The following is a 14,751-nucleotide window of genomic DNA, read 5'->3' as shown; positions in this document are numbered from 1 at the left end:
TCCAGAGAAAGTAGGTTATTATAGAAAACATTTCCCTTCGCCCTTAAAATCACTGGATTTGGGTTATTCACTTTGAAGTTCTACTATGATCCAGTTTCCCATCAAAAGGGAAGCACTTTTAGCCACTGAAATCTAAGAGGACTTTCTTCAATGGCACCCAGCAGAAAAGGAAAAAAATGAAAAGGAAAAAAATCTTCTTGCATTTGAAACGTTATTAGTCTTACATGAAAGACATTACCTTCCAAAAAACAATAATGAAGACTGACTAGTTCAAGTCAGAAACCCAGGTTTGAGGTTTCCAAGGCCCTTTTATTAGGGGAAGTTCCCCTTTATAGCACAAGACTTCACAAATGTGTTGACAACAATCAGATTCATTTCTTAAAATTATGGAGAAAAAAGGGAAAAACAAAACAGATGCACTTTTTATATATATTGAACATAAATTAAAAGAATTTATAAAACAGCCACCTTTTTACAGAATAAATGCAGACTGAATTATAAATGCACCTCCACGTTGAAGTTGTTTTGAGTTGCTTTTCATTTTCCAATAATAAATAAATAGAATTTGTTCTTGAGTTTTAGATCCACCTGAGCCACGGCAGGACTCTAAGTCATGAATGGGCTTTCTTCCCTTGGTCGCTCCTGTGCGCAGCATGTGAGTGTGCTGAGGTTACAGATTTCATTGGCCCACCAGCGTGTATGCTATCCTTTCGGGGTGGCATTCGCTCATTAATTCGGTCCAGACCTCGCGCTTCTTCAAAACTCCGGATCTTGTGCTGAAGCGAGAACCCTCTGATGGCTACAGAAAAACAGGAAGCAGGTGGAGAGAGCTCAATTAGGCAGCAAAGCAACAGGCTTAAAAAAAGTTTCTTAGCACACAGCAACCTCCTAGAGAAACACACAGAAAGGTGGCTATGGAGCACACGTCTAGTGAAAGTCATGGGCAATGTCTGACTGAATCAGTCTTGGCTGCAGCTACTGCTTCCTTAAAGCCCAAAGGGCAGCTGAAATTGTGAAAGTAATTTTCATAAAAGCTCTATATGCATAATCATGGTAGACATATACCTAACAAAAAGCTAACAAGTACTTACTGGGCCCCAGTACCTTTAAGAAAGAGTGTCTTATGCACCAGAAACATACTCAATGCTAGAACAAAGGCAACACTAGAATAATTGAACAAGTTAAACCCAGGGTAGTTGCTTTTCGCACAAAGGCCACATAGACCACAAAAAAAAGTAACAAAAGAGCTAATCTTTTCGTTTAGGACAGCTTTCTATCTTGCACAACCAGGAGCTGTACATAAGTTAAAAACTTAAAAATAGCTTCTACATATTTTCCTTCCGATTCAACTTTTATAACACCAAGTTAAGGCATTCGCGTTTTGAACCATCTTACCTAATAAAACAATTACAAGTATAATACAAGTTTATCAGTTCCAATGGTTTTCATAGAAACAAAGTTAATTTAACTTGCCTACCTTAGGGCAACCTCAGAAATGAATTGAACTAAATTCCAGTCTACTTCTGCCTCTGCTCTTGAAATCTTTTAGAATCGCTGAAGAGGCTGACCTATTTGGCTCTCTTGAGAATCAAATGGATGTCTCTTGTACATGGAAGGGATACAGAAGTAAACCACTTGACCTCTCATGACCAGTTGCTTAAGCTTCTGCCGTTGCATTAAAGCTGATAGAGCCCAGAAAAAAAACTGTAGCTGTGGTGAAGGTTATTTAAAATTAATGCAAAGATAGGACACAAAGGAAACACCTGCTTCGTTAACATGCCTAGAAACAACTATACCTTTTCTCACTGTTATAGTTCTGGTGATGCAATAATAAAATATTTGAAATGTTGATAAAGCTTCGAAAAACCAGTACACAGACACATGGATCACATCTATCAGAGTAATATGGCCATACCTTCCCGGGCCTCTACCGCTTCTACTGTGGCTGTAAGAGGGCAGGAGCAGTAGCATGCAAAAACGAAGACAGAAAAAGAGTGAGTAAACCAACAGCACTGATGGCAGCACAGCCATCCCAGGGGCCCGTTTTTTAGCCTATCCCCATCCATAATGAAAGTCAACTAGTTAGAGAAGCGAGAAGATTATTGCGAGAGACTCAATTGGGGTGGGAGGAATATGGGGTGGGGGAGAGTTTCTAATATTTTTAACATTTCAGGTGCCATGGAACATTGCTCTTTTCATTTTAGGTAGCCAACTGCTACTTTATATCTTGATATCCACGTATCGAAACAACATGTAGAATCAAATAGTTTGACATCACAACAATCCTTAGTTTGTAAAATATCTCAGGTGATATTAAATGAGCTACTGCTGGGTCCTATTCAAAAAGCTTATTTACAACTACATCTTACTGCTCTCAAGTGACTTATTTGGAGTCCAACTGCCCTATTAATTACTTCATTTAAAAAAAAAAGAGTGGCCTTTGAACAGCAGACTGGCATTTGGAAGGAGAGAAAAATAGGTTCCATGTGAAGGGTTATTTCTTGTCCAGGAGTGGAGTACAAAGCTAACAAAAGCATAGAACTATTGAATTCCTAATGCAAATGTGTGTACCCATCTGCTATAAAAATATAGCAGAGGCTAATGTTTCCAATCCATATGGCTTCCATACAGTGTTCAAGAGAGTTGGCCAGTAACTAAGAAAGCCCTCTTCTTTCTTAGCAATGGAAAAGGAAGCAACTTAAAAATTAGTACCAACAGGTAAACTTCCTTGCATCTCCTTTCTCAGACAGTAAAAACGCTAATATATGAAAAGGTACAGGGTGCCACAAGAAAGATCCTATTAGGAGAACCCTGTCAGTTACTCCAGTACCAATTTGCCAAAAGAAGGCAGTGAAGAATAATGAGCAGTAACAGTTTGCTGCTATTCCCAAGGCTTTATATATCAATATGAGAAGAGAAACTGAAAGAACTACATTAACTACCTAATGGAATGTGAAAAATGGATAACTGAAATCTACTTATGAAGTGCTTTCATTTGTCAACCATAGGCAGGCATGTATTAAATCACTGTCACACCCTCTCTAATCTCCTTAAGTAGAACAAATACCCTTGACAAGAAAGCTACAGTGCCTTCTCACAGCACATCACTGATGTAACTGTTAGGAAGTGGGAGAACAAAGCATTGCTGAAACTCTACACTGAGTGTTGGTCTAATTAGAGCTTAAAAGCTACACGGTAAAATGTGTATGATATTACCTTGTTTGGGGCCCTCCCAGAATTGCTATTCACATTGGGTATAAAGATAGCAGCCTGCAGTAAGGGCCATTATAAGAAACAGTCATATCAAATGACCCGAACTTTTGTTTTCCTTTTTAACATCTTAACTGAAATAGAATTCATATACCACAAAACTCACTTGTTTAAAGTATACAAGTCAATGGTTTTAATATAGTAGAGCTGTGCAACCATCACCACAATCTGTGCTTAGAATATTTTCATTGCCCCAATGAGAAATCCCCCACTTATTAGCACTCACTTCCCATTTCCTTCCCTCACCTCTTCCCCTTAATCCTGGTTGAACACGAATCTACTTTCTCTCTAGATTGGTCTGTTCTGGACATTTCAAATGAGTGGCATCATATAATATGTGGTCTGTAGTGACTGACTTCTTTCACTTAGCATAATGTTTTCAAGGTTCAGTCATGTTGACATGTATACCTGCATTTAATTCCTTTTTATGGCTGAATAGTATTCCATTGCGTTTACCACATTTTGTTTATCCAGTTTATGGACAATTGCTTTTTTCTGCTTTTTGGCTATTATGTTGAATGCCATTTATGAACATTTGTGTACAAGTTTTTGCGAGGACATATTTTCATTTCTTTGTGGGGTATGTAGCTATGACTGGAATTGCTGAGTAATAAGTCAATTCTATGTTTAATCATTTGAAGACCTGTCAGAATGTTTTCCAAAGCAGCTGTACCATTTTACATTTCCACCAGCAGTGTTAAGAAGGTCCCAATTTCTCCACATTCTCATCAACACTTCTTATTAACTGCTGTCTTTTCACAGCCATCCTACTGACTGTGAAGTGGTATCCCATTGTGGTTTTGATTAGCATTTTCTGAATGTCTAATGATGTCAAACATCATTTCATGTGCCATTTGTATGTCTTCATGGGAAAAATGTCAATTCAATTCTTTACCCATTTTTAACTGGGTTGTCTTCTTATTCAGTTGTAAGAGTATATTTTCTAGATACCAATCTCTTAGGAGATATATGATTTGAAAACATTTTCAACCATTCTGTGGGATGTCTTTTCATTTTCTTGATAGTACCATTTGCAGTACAGAGTTTTTAATTTTGATGTAGTCCAATTTATAACTGATCTGTTTTAATCTGATGGTCTTTGTGAATCTTGTCCTGTCCTTGGCTTTCCCCACTATTTTGGCTACTGGGATGCTTAGAGTCAAATTTGTGGCTATTGGCTTTATTTTTATTTACCTTTGTGCTTCAATTTCCAAGCATATTTATTTTACTCCACTATGTTTCATGTATACTGTAACTCACGCCAATCCCTCTTAGATCAAGGTGAGACATACATGAATGTATGTTACATGGCCATATGGGATACTGTTGGTTGAAAGCTCTCCAAGTTAAGTTATATGAACAATAAAAGGTCTTTTTTAGTTAATGCTCCAGTTAGCCAATGAGCTGGTGGAACTGAGACTCCAATGTGAAAATAACAAAATAAACTCACTTCCTGTGAATCAATAAGAATAAGAAACTCTAAAAAGTTGGCTCCAACTTTACCTTTGTTCTCACACATTACTGAAGATTTCTATCAACTTTGGAAGTATCAATCAATGGTCCTATCTTGATTAAAACACTCATATTCAACTCATACTTTGGGGCTGAGCCCAAAAGGTGACCAAGAATTAGAAACAAATTTCCAAATAACATAGCTATATAATTCTGTTGCTCAGCCCTGATTTGCAGATTTGCTTTCTCAAGGTTTAGACAAAGTTGGTTTCAATTAAAACAATTTTGTGGATCAGCAAATTTTCATAATGTTTACCTAAGGATGCTATAGGACATTCCTTTTTTTCTCTTAACTCATGTTACTGCCTATTACTCTATCTTTGTTGTCAGAGTTGCTCTCGGAATATCTCAGATGACTAATTACCAAGCAAAGCAATGGTGGGAACATATTCTGCTCACAAAAAACTGCACATTTATTTGAGAAAAATATTCAATCGGAAATAGTTTACTGATACTTTCTGTGAAACTAAAGGAACTAGGAAAATAAACTATACTTCCAAAGAGAAAATGTTCAGACTTCCTTCTAAATAGCTGAACTCTAATATCTCAGTATTCTATTTGAAAGAGAAGGAGGAATTCAATCTTATAAAAAGAAAAAAGGGCTGGGCACGGTGGCTCACGCCTGTAATCCTAGCACTTTGGGAGGCTGAGGCGGGCATATTGCCTGACCTCAGGAGTTCCAGACCAGCCTGGGCAACATGGTGAAACCCCATCTCTACTAAAATATAAAAAATTATCCGGGCATGGCGGTGTACGCCTGTAGTTCCAACTACTTGGGAGGCTGAGGCAGGAGAATTGCTTGAACCTGGGAGGCGGAGATTGCAGTGAGGCAAGATCGTGCCACTGCACTCCAGCGTGGGCAACAGACCAAGACTCTGTCTCCAAGAAAAGAAAAAAAATGGGTTTGTCCCTGTTAGTCAATAGCAATGAAATTTCTACAAAAGAAAAAGGACTCCTATAAATGGCAGGATGGCCAGGCACAGTGGCACATGCCTGTAGTCCCAGCCACTCGAGTAGCTGAGGCAGGGGGATTGCTGGAGCCCAGCAACCGGGCGCTGCCATGAGCTATGACAGTACCTAGCCATTACATTCTAGCCTGGGCAACTCTGTCTCTTGGGAAAAAAAAAGAAAAAGAAAAAAGGCCAGATGAACGATGAGGTGGGAAAAAAACTAAATAGAAACAATTCAACAAAACAAGGGGAGCAAAAAAAGCAGTTAAACTTTAGTTTAAGATATTAATGCTTCAATACCAATTTTCATACCTAGTGTTAGTCACCCAGTAATATGATCTCCTGTCTCTTCCCCTTGCATGTTTATTCTCACGAACATCAACCTTTTCATTCCGGGATTCCAGAAAGCCCTTTCCTAAGAAGTCAGCTCCTGGGTAAATTTCAGAATTGGTACTCTGATTGAAGAGGTGATTTTGGCACTGGAATAGAATATGGCTGCAGGGAAAGAGGCAAACTCCCTCTCTGATTGAGAAACTGCAACCCCCTCAAACTGTTTTCTTTAAGGTACAAAATATACACGAGGCACAGCAGGTGCACAAATCTGAAGTGTACAGCTCAACACATTCTTACATAAGTATACGCATGTCTAACTACCACCATGATAATGATACAGAACATTCCTAACACTCTAGATGTTCCCTGTGCCCTTCTGGGACAATATTCTCCCACCAGAGGAAGTGACATTCTGACTTTATTATCACTGATTAGTCCAATGGTTCTTAAATATTATATAAATCAGACAGTCTGTGCTCTTTTATGTCTGGCTTTTGCAGTTTTCTGTAATGTCTATGAGATTCAACCATGTTGTAGCATGTGTCCATAATGTGTTATTTTTTATTGCTGAGTATTATTCCATTGTATAAATAGAATACAGTTTATTTATTTATATTTCGGAATACAATTTATTTATGTAGTCTGCTACTGATGGACATCTGGGTTGTTTCCAGCTTTGAGCTATTATGAATAAAGCTACAGTGAACATTCCCATGCATAACCTTTGGTGAACACATCCAGTTTCTCTTGGATATACACCAGGTGTGGAACTGCTGGGTTACAGGGTAGACATATGTTTAGCTTTACTGCCCAGTAGTTTTCTAAAGCGCTTGAATCAATTTACAAGCCCTTTAGCAACATACCTAGTACTAGTTCTCCACAAACACACCAATACTTGGTATTGTCAGACTCTTTTTTTTTTTTTTGGAGACAGGGTCTCGCCCTGTTGCCCAGACTGGAGTGCAGTGGCACAATCATAACTTACTACAGCCTCAAACTCCTGGCCTCAAGTGATCCTCCCACCTCAGCCTCCCAAAGTGCTGGGATAACAGGTGTAAGTCACCATGCCCTGGCCCAAACTTTTAATTTTTAGCCATTCTAGTGGGTATGTAATGGTACCTCACTGTGGTGTTTGTTTTTTTTTTTTTTTTTGAAACAGTCTTGGTCTGTGATCCGGGCTGGAGTGCAATGGTGTGATCTTGGCTCGCTGCAACCTCCACCTCCCGGGTTCCAGTGATTCTAGTGCTTCAGCCTCCTGAGTAGCTAGGATTACAGGAGTATGCCACCATGCTCAGCTAATTTTTGTATTTTTAGTAGAGGTGGGGTTTTGCTGTATTGGCCAGGCTGTTCTTGAACTCGTGGCCTCAAGAGATCTGCCTGCCTCAGCCTCCCAAAGTGCTGGGATTACAGGCGTGAGCCACCGCTCCCGGCCCTCAGTGTGGTTTTAATATCTATTTCCTAGATGAAAAACTATAATAATATTAAGATCTTTTCATATGTTTATTGGTCACTTTGGTTTTTTTTGAGATGGAGTCTCACTCTGTCGCCCAGGCTGGAGTGCAGTGGCGCGATCTCGGTTCACTGCAACCTCCGCCTCCCGGATTCAAGCAATTCTCCTGTCTCAGGCAACCGAGTAGCTGGGATCACAGGTGCCCACCACCACACCTGGCTAATTTTTCTATTTTTAGTAGAGACGGAGTTTCACCATGTTGGCCAGGCTGGTCTCGAACTCCTGACCTCAGGTGATCCGCCCGCCTCGGCCTCCCAAAGTGCTGGGATTACAGGCGTGAGCCACTGTGCCAGGCCTATTGGCCACTTTGATATCCTCATTTGTGAAGTGCCTGTTTAAATCTTTTGACCATTTTTGAAATTTGTTTTTTCCTATTGATTTATAGTTCTTTATATATTCTGGATACAAGGGCTTGGTGAGACGTGTATTGCAAAAAATTTTCTTCCATTTTGTGTCTTGCCTTTTTCCTCTCTTAATCATGTATTTTTAAGAAGAGAAGTTCTTTATTTTAATGAAATTCAACTGGCTTTTTAAGGTTAGTACTTTTTGTGTCCTACTTAAGGACTCTGTCTACCCCAGTGTCTACTCTCCATACTTTCTTCTTGTTTTACTGTTTTGCTTTTTACACTGAAGTTATAATAAGCCATTCTGATTTAGGTTTTCTGTATGGAGGGAAGTAGGGGTGAAGATTCATTTCCCCGCTTATGGTATAACCAACTGCTCTCGTGGCATTTTCTGAGGAAAGCCCCCATTTGTAAGTGTGTGCTGACTGTTAGGTAACGGGAGCACACCTTCCATGGAGGAGCACTCTCATACTCACCTGTCTCGATAGTCTGCTTGCCTCCTGAGAGGACGCCCAGAGGGAGTGTGCCTGTGGGAGTCAGGCCCTTGAGAGTCAGCACACTCTCACTTTCTTGCCTGCAAAGGGAGACCAAACCCTGGGTTAATGCCCGAGAACTCTCCATTCAGCAACTTAAAGATATTGAAGGAAGTGAAGAAAGACAGCAGAGATGGAAGATAGGTTCTCCTACCTCCTACGCCTTCCCTGACTCAAAGAAAGGGATGTTTTCCACAAATATTTTCATTTTAAACAATCAGCCAGTTCTTGTTTTTCAATTAGAAGTGTTTAACAGCCAGGCACTGTTCTAACATTTCCCATATTGTATCCCATTTAATACACCTAACAACCTGTGCGCTAGGGCCTATTATTACTTTACAGGCAAGGAAACTAAGGCACAGAGATGAAACCCAAGATCACACAGGTAAGAAGAGGTAGAGCCAGAATTTGAACACAGGCAATCGGGTTGGAAAGTCCACACTAAACCACTACATTCACTACATCTAAGCTACTAACAAATCAATGTTTGCTGGAACATTTTTAGTCGCTTAAACATGTTCATTGAATTTGCACTCAACCTAAAGACCTGCAGTTTCAATACTACATTCCAATTATAAAAAAACTGTTCTGAATTCGACGTCTAATTTACTCTCAAAATGCCTTTAATCCGCACTGTAATGACAGACATCCTTACCGAAGAATTGAAAAGACCCGTGCCATCTTCCCAATGGCTCTGATCTTATTCCTGATGATCTCCTTACGAACTGTAGTGCTTCCTTAGAGAATACAAAGAATAAGTAAGTTAAAGGGATGTGTTAATAGGCTGCCTTTAAAAAATTCAGGATGAAGTGTCTTAAGTTAAAGAAACAATTGTTTTTAAAAAACAGAAATGAAGGCTTAAGTTTGTTTAAACAAACAAAAATCTCAGGAAGTTCTAAGGAGCAAGAGAAAAAATGACTCAGAAGATAAAAAGATGAAGTAAAAAATGAGAGGCCACAAAAAAGACAGACTGGGTGGATCTATGAGAGGTAGGAACTTATTTGTGGTTGTGAAACGTAGAGCACAGCAAAGAATAAAACACACACATACATAAACAAACCTCACAAAGAAAGCTGCTACAGCAAAGATGTCTTTTGATAATGCTGTGGGCCACCTTAGGGTGCAGGGTTCGGCCTGCCAAATGGCAAGTGATCATTCCAGCAGCTGTCTTCTGTATGTAAACACAACACCCAGCTAGCTCTCCTGAACTTAGTGAGGGCTGCTTTCATTCTATAAGCTTCACTTATATTAGTGAGTTATTGCCTCACGATACTACTTACAACTGTGCACTATTTTAAAAAGCAACAACAGAAAAAGTTAACTTAAGACTTTATGGCTTTTTCTTATCTAAGATTCTGAAAATAGCCCACACATGAGAAGCCAAGGTCCAGCATGCACCAGGTGACTACAGTCAAAAGTCAGAAAAAGAAACATGGCCTCTCCTTCCTCACATCCAACCCTCAGCACCCTGCCAGATCACGCAACAGGTCCAGAGAAAACATATACATTAAAACTGAAGGGGCGGATGGAGAGCCTTTCTGAAATTATTCAACTACCAATTTTAAGTCTAACCAATAGACTATGGTGGGACAGAGAGTAAGCATTAAGCTCTTAGCACAGTTTAGTCGGATACCTTTCTGATAGCTTGGAATGTAGTGATCTTCAGGGAGAAGAAACACCAAGAAACAAGGAGATGAAGACAGAAATATGAGAAGAGAAATTTATGTTTACATGGAAAAGAGAAAAAAAAATCAAAGTGAAATGCAATGAGAGAAACAGGCTATTATCTTTACCAGCTCATAAGAGATATCCTTGGAATCATGATACAACATTAAATTGCAAATTTATTTTGTCAGTAGTTTCTTCCATTTCTTAAAAGTTTATGGTTTTACATTAATTCACATCTATGAGCATCCAATATTTTCTAACCCCACAGATCATGAAAATAACATTAAACAAAGATATTATTTGCAGAATAAATGATGCCAAAAACAAGGAACAAAAACGGAGGACAGAACAGTTTACAAATCTCTTCACAGGAATAGTATGTTTTTTTGTTTAATGGATTCTATAGCTTCTCTTTCAGGGGATATAATTGTTCTTCCTTTTTTTTTTTTTTTTTTTTTTTTTTTGAGATGAGTCTCGCTCTGTCGCCAGGCTGGAGTGCAGTAGTGCGATCTTGGCTCACTGCAACCTCCGCCTCTCAGGTTCAAGCAATTCTCCTGCCTCAGCCTCCCGAGTAGCTGGGACTACAGGTGTGTGCCACCACACCCCAGCTAATTTTTGTATTTTTAGTAGAGATGGGGTTTCACCATGTTGGCCAGCATGGTGTCGATCTCCTGACCTCATGATCCACCTGCCTCAGCCTCCCAAAGTGCTGAGATTACAGGCGTGAGCCACTATGCCCGGCCCATTCTTCCTTTTTATTTATTTATTTATTTATTTATTTATTTTTATGTTTGTGGTGGGAAAGAATAGGAAATATATGTGTTTCTGTTTGTTTGTTTGAGACAGGGTCTCCCTCTGTTGGCCAGGCTAGAGTGTAGTGGCAAGATCTCCGCTCATTGCAACCTCTGCCTCCCAGGTTCAAGTAATCCTCCCACCTCAGGCCCCCAAGTAGCTGGGACCAGAAGCACTCGCCATCACATCTGGTTGATTTCTGCATTTTTAGTAGAGATGGGGTTTCACCATGTTGCCCAGGGGGATATTCGGTTTTTCTTTTGTTTTTCACTTGGCTGCACTATTTCCTCAAGAAGAACTGGTTCCTTGTAGTCATCTCCTATACCATAAATAAAAACACTCGCAAGCTATCTTGCATATGCTGTTGATCTTCAGTGCGGAACCTGAAGCATGAGTGCAGAACCTGAAGCATGAGAGTGTATGGTAATTTCCTCTAGATTCCCAAAGGGAGTTGTGTTTTCTCCACGATGGAGATGGTTTATCCTCACAGTTAAGGGAACCACCTTAGCACAGAGCCTGGATAGGATGAGGCCGGTTTGTGCTTGGATGACCACCACTTTTCCAGAATCTCTTGCATTGTCAGACAAGTCAGGACCTACCTTTATAATCAAACCTCCCACAGCACACTAGGAAAAAAAGTACTTGGCTACATATATAATAAAATGTTACTGTATAAAAAGATCCCTCACACACCAATAAGAAAAAAATCAAAATGGGGCTGGGCATGGTGGCTCATGCTTGTTAATCCCAGCTCTTTGGGAGACCGAGGCAGGCAGACCACTTTGAGCTCAGGAGTTCCAGACTAGCCTGGGCAACATGGCGAAACCCCATCTATACTAAAAATACAAAAATTAGCTGGTCATGGTGGCACGCGCCTATAATCCCAGCTACTCGTGAGGCTAAGGCAGGAGAATCGCTTGAACTCGGGAGGTGAAGGTTGCAGTGAGCAGAGATCGCGCCACTGCACTCCAGCCTGGGTGACAGAACAACACTCTGTCTCAAAAAAAGGATAGAAGATATGAATTGACAAGTCACAAAAGAGAGATAAACATTGCCAACAAACACAAGAAAAAATTGTCCATTAGTCTCATAAAAATATAAACTAAAAATTTAATTAAAAACTTAGTAACACCAGACTATAACAAGTATCATAAACAGTATTGGAGACAGCACTGTGACTATGCATCCTGCAAAATGTAAAGTGGTACAGCCTTTCTAGAGGCTGTATCAGAAATTTCTATCTGTATCAGAATTGTAATTTTAAGTACTAATTGACACAGATATTCAATTTCTACAAATTCATCCTATGGAAATAATCAAGAAGTGTTATTCCTGATTTTCTAATATTGCTTTACTTCCTTTCATCTGACATATTTATTTACTGTTTTTCCTCCCTACACTAGCAAATAAGCTTATTGAGAGCAAGGACCTAAACAATACAGTACTTGGTATATATCAAGCATGTAATAAATATTGGTTAAGAGAATGTGCACATTTTTATCTAAACAAATGTTCAAAACTATATGGGTTTTGTCGGCAAAAACTTGGGAAAAACTCCAATAACCAACACCACCGGGATTAGTTACAACACTGATCAACATGGACAACTACAGATCCATTAGAAACTAGTCTACAAAGAAACTCCACAAAAATAGTGTACTACAGAGGAAAGCTATGTGCAAAGATAAAAGACAATTAACACAGTATACATTAAGATGTTAACTGTGGATATCTATAAGATGATGGGATTATGGGTGACTTTTTTTCCTTATTTATGGTTTCTCGTATTTTTCAAATTTTATTTTTCTACAATGAACTAACTTTATTTTTAATAAGACAAAGAAAATCATTCAAAATAAACTAAAACAACTAAAACCAAAACCAAACCTCTTTCTAGTTTTAGTTCAAAGGAGGAAAAGTTTACCTTCTGCTTCATCATCAGAAATCAGTTCGTCATCAGAGCATATGTTGAGCACATTTACCAGCATCTCTGTGACTAAGTAAGACAAAATAATCCAAAATTTACGCGATTAATGAGGTACTTTCTCTAAAATAATGTGGATATCTAAATAAACACACATGTTAAGTAAGCATAAGCAAAAATTATTTATCATTATGTTAGTAAGAATAGCTATAAAAAGTAGCATAAATGTAAACTTTCAGGTTTAAAAAGAATTTGGGTAGATTACTTGCTCCAGTAAAAGTCTGGAGTCTTTGAAGATCTATTGCCTAATTACTTGATTTTACCGGATTGCTGTTCAGAGCTTCTTCCCACACTGATACACACGTGAGAAAATTTTTTTCCCACTTTACAAAGTTAAGCCAACAGGCCTACGTCCAACAGGCTTAGCTAATTTGAGTAGCTGTACAAATAAAATTGTAAGGACAATAAATTCTGTTTAAATCTCTTCAGTACTGAAGAAATCTGAGGGAATGACAAGTAACTATGTTATTTTAACATCTTGATCATAGTAGGTCAGCTACTTTAAATTGATATTTACAATAAAAAAACCATAATATATTAAAATTTAAGAACCAATTACATGCCATTTACAAATCTATGTAGAGGCTGGGCACGGTGGCTCACACCTGTAATCCCAGCACTTTGGGAGGCTGAGGAGGGCGGATCACTTAAGGTCAGGAGTTTGAGACCAGCCTGGCCAATATGGTGAAACCCTGTCTCTACTAAAATGCAAAAATTAGCCGGGTGCAGTGGCACGTGCCTATAATCCCAGCTCCTCAGAAGGCTGAGGCAGGAGAATTGCTTGAACCTGGGAGGCGGAGGTTGTAGTTAGCTGAGATCGTGCCACTGCACTCCAGCCTGGGTGACAGAGCGAGACTCCATCTCAGAAAAAAAAAAAAAAAATCTATGTAGAGAACAAACAAAATTAGAAAACATTTCTGAATCATGGAGGGGCTCATGCAAATATAAGGTATGCTCAGTCACCAAACAACTGATGAGACATGTGCTTTAGTTCTCTTACCTTTTTCCCCAACAAAAGGCAAAGACCATGTGAAAACATCCATAAAGTTTGGAAGCCAGTAGGGGTGTGGAGAACAGTTAAACTGCCTGATATTCATGACATTGTTTTCATATTTCAACACAGCAGCTAAAAAGGAAAAAAGCAAGAAAATCTGGCACAGAGGAACATGGCATGGCAAGTGGTATGCTTTGTACAGCTGTGTACCTGCTACACAGAATTCGAGAACTTTCCATTTGTAAAGTCAGGACTTGACTAGGTAAAGGGCAGATGGAAAATTTTAAAGCCTTTTATTCAGTTCATTCTCTTAAGAATTATTCCAAGGAACAAAGTTACCTGAAGAGCTCATATAATAAAAGTACAAAAGAAACTGAAACTTTGGAGTCACTGCACAGTAACTATCTATATAAACCTCAAGATCCACGTGAGGAAAATTTCCCCATAATTTCCTTTTATAGGCCAAATGGTTATAATTACAACTCTCCTTTGAAGGCAAAAATTACTCATTAAATGGACACAGCCTGTTTTGCTAGTCATTAGCCAGAGTCAAAGATTGTATACACTCTCTGGGAGTTTATATATTGCAGTTATCAACTCATACTGGAAGATACAAATGGCAAACTTGGAGCAATTTACAATTAAATGTTCAAAATTAGATTAAGTCATCTCTGTATTCAATATAGCGGATTTTAAAATTGCCGATTTCTCCAATACACAGCAGTGTATTGCCAGCATGCTATGTTTAATATTAACCATTCAGATAGTCGCACACATACTTTGATGCCAAACTGATTTTCTTTATATTTTGAAAGTCTTAAAATCCAATTCCTTAGCCTTTATCACCAGCAATGTTGTTTG

At 38.9% G+C, this 14,751-nt stretch overlaps 1 protein-coding gene and 1 long non-coding RNA gene across 7 annotated transcripts in view; one reads left to right on the top strand and one right to left on the bottom strand.

The window, feature by feature from the left end:
* Positions 1–14,751, top strand: part of LOC124901905 (uncharacterized) — a 72,590-nt gene that overhangs the window by 12,712 nt on the left and 45,127 nt on the right. The window lies entirely within an intron of this gene.
* PPP3CC (protein phosphatase 3 catalytic subunit gamma) overlaps positions 289–14,751 on the bottom strand; it is a 100,048-nt gene continuing 85,585 nt past the window's right edge. The window contains exons 9-15 of one of the 6 annotated variants that reach the window (NM_001243974.2): positions 13,897–14,022; positions 12,837–12,908; positions 10,086–10,112; positions 9,108–9,189; positions 8,396–8,493; positions 1,916–1,945; positions 289–799 (exon numbers count right to left, since the gene is read on the bottom strand). In NM_001243974.2, coding sequence (NP_001230903.1) covers positions 612–799; positions 1,916–1,945; positions 8,396–8,493; positions 9,108–9,189; positions 10,086–10,112; positions 12,837–12,908; positions 13,897–14,022 — 623 coding nt within the window. In that variant the 3' untranslated portion in view covers positions 289–611. Of the gene's footprint in view, positions 800–1,477; positions 1,683–1,915; positions 1,946–8,395; positions 8,494–9,107; positions 9,190–10,085; positions 10,113–12,836; positions 12,909–13,896; positions 14,023–14,751 lie in introns of those variants that run through there. The other 5 variants (XM_047421941.1, NM_005605.5, XM_047421942.1 and 2 more) reach the window with 5 other exon arrangements.

Source organism: Homo sapiens, chromosome 8, assembly GCF_000001405.40.
Source record: "Homo sapiens chromosome 8, GRCh38.p14 Primary Assembly".
NCBI classification, from domain to species: domain Eukaryota; kingdom Metazoa; phylum Chordata; class Mammalia; order Primates; family Hominidae; genus Homo; species Homo sapiens.
The sequence above is the reverse complement of the archived record's forward strand: the minus strand, read 5'-3'. Positions and strand labels throughout refer to the sequence as shown.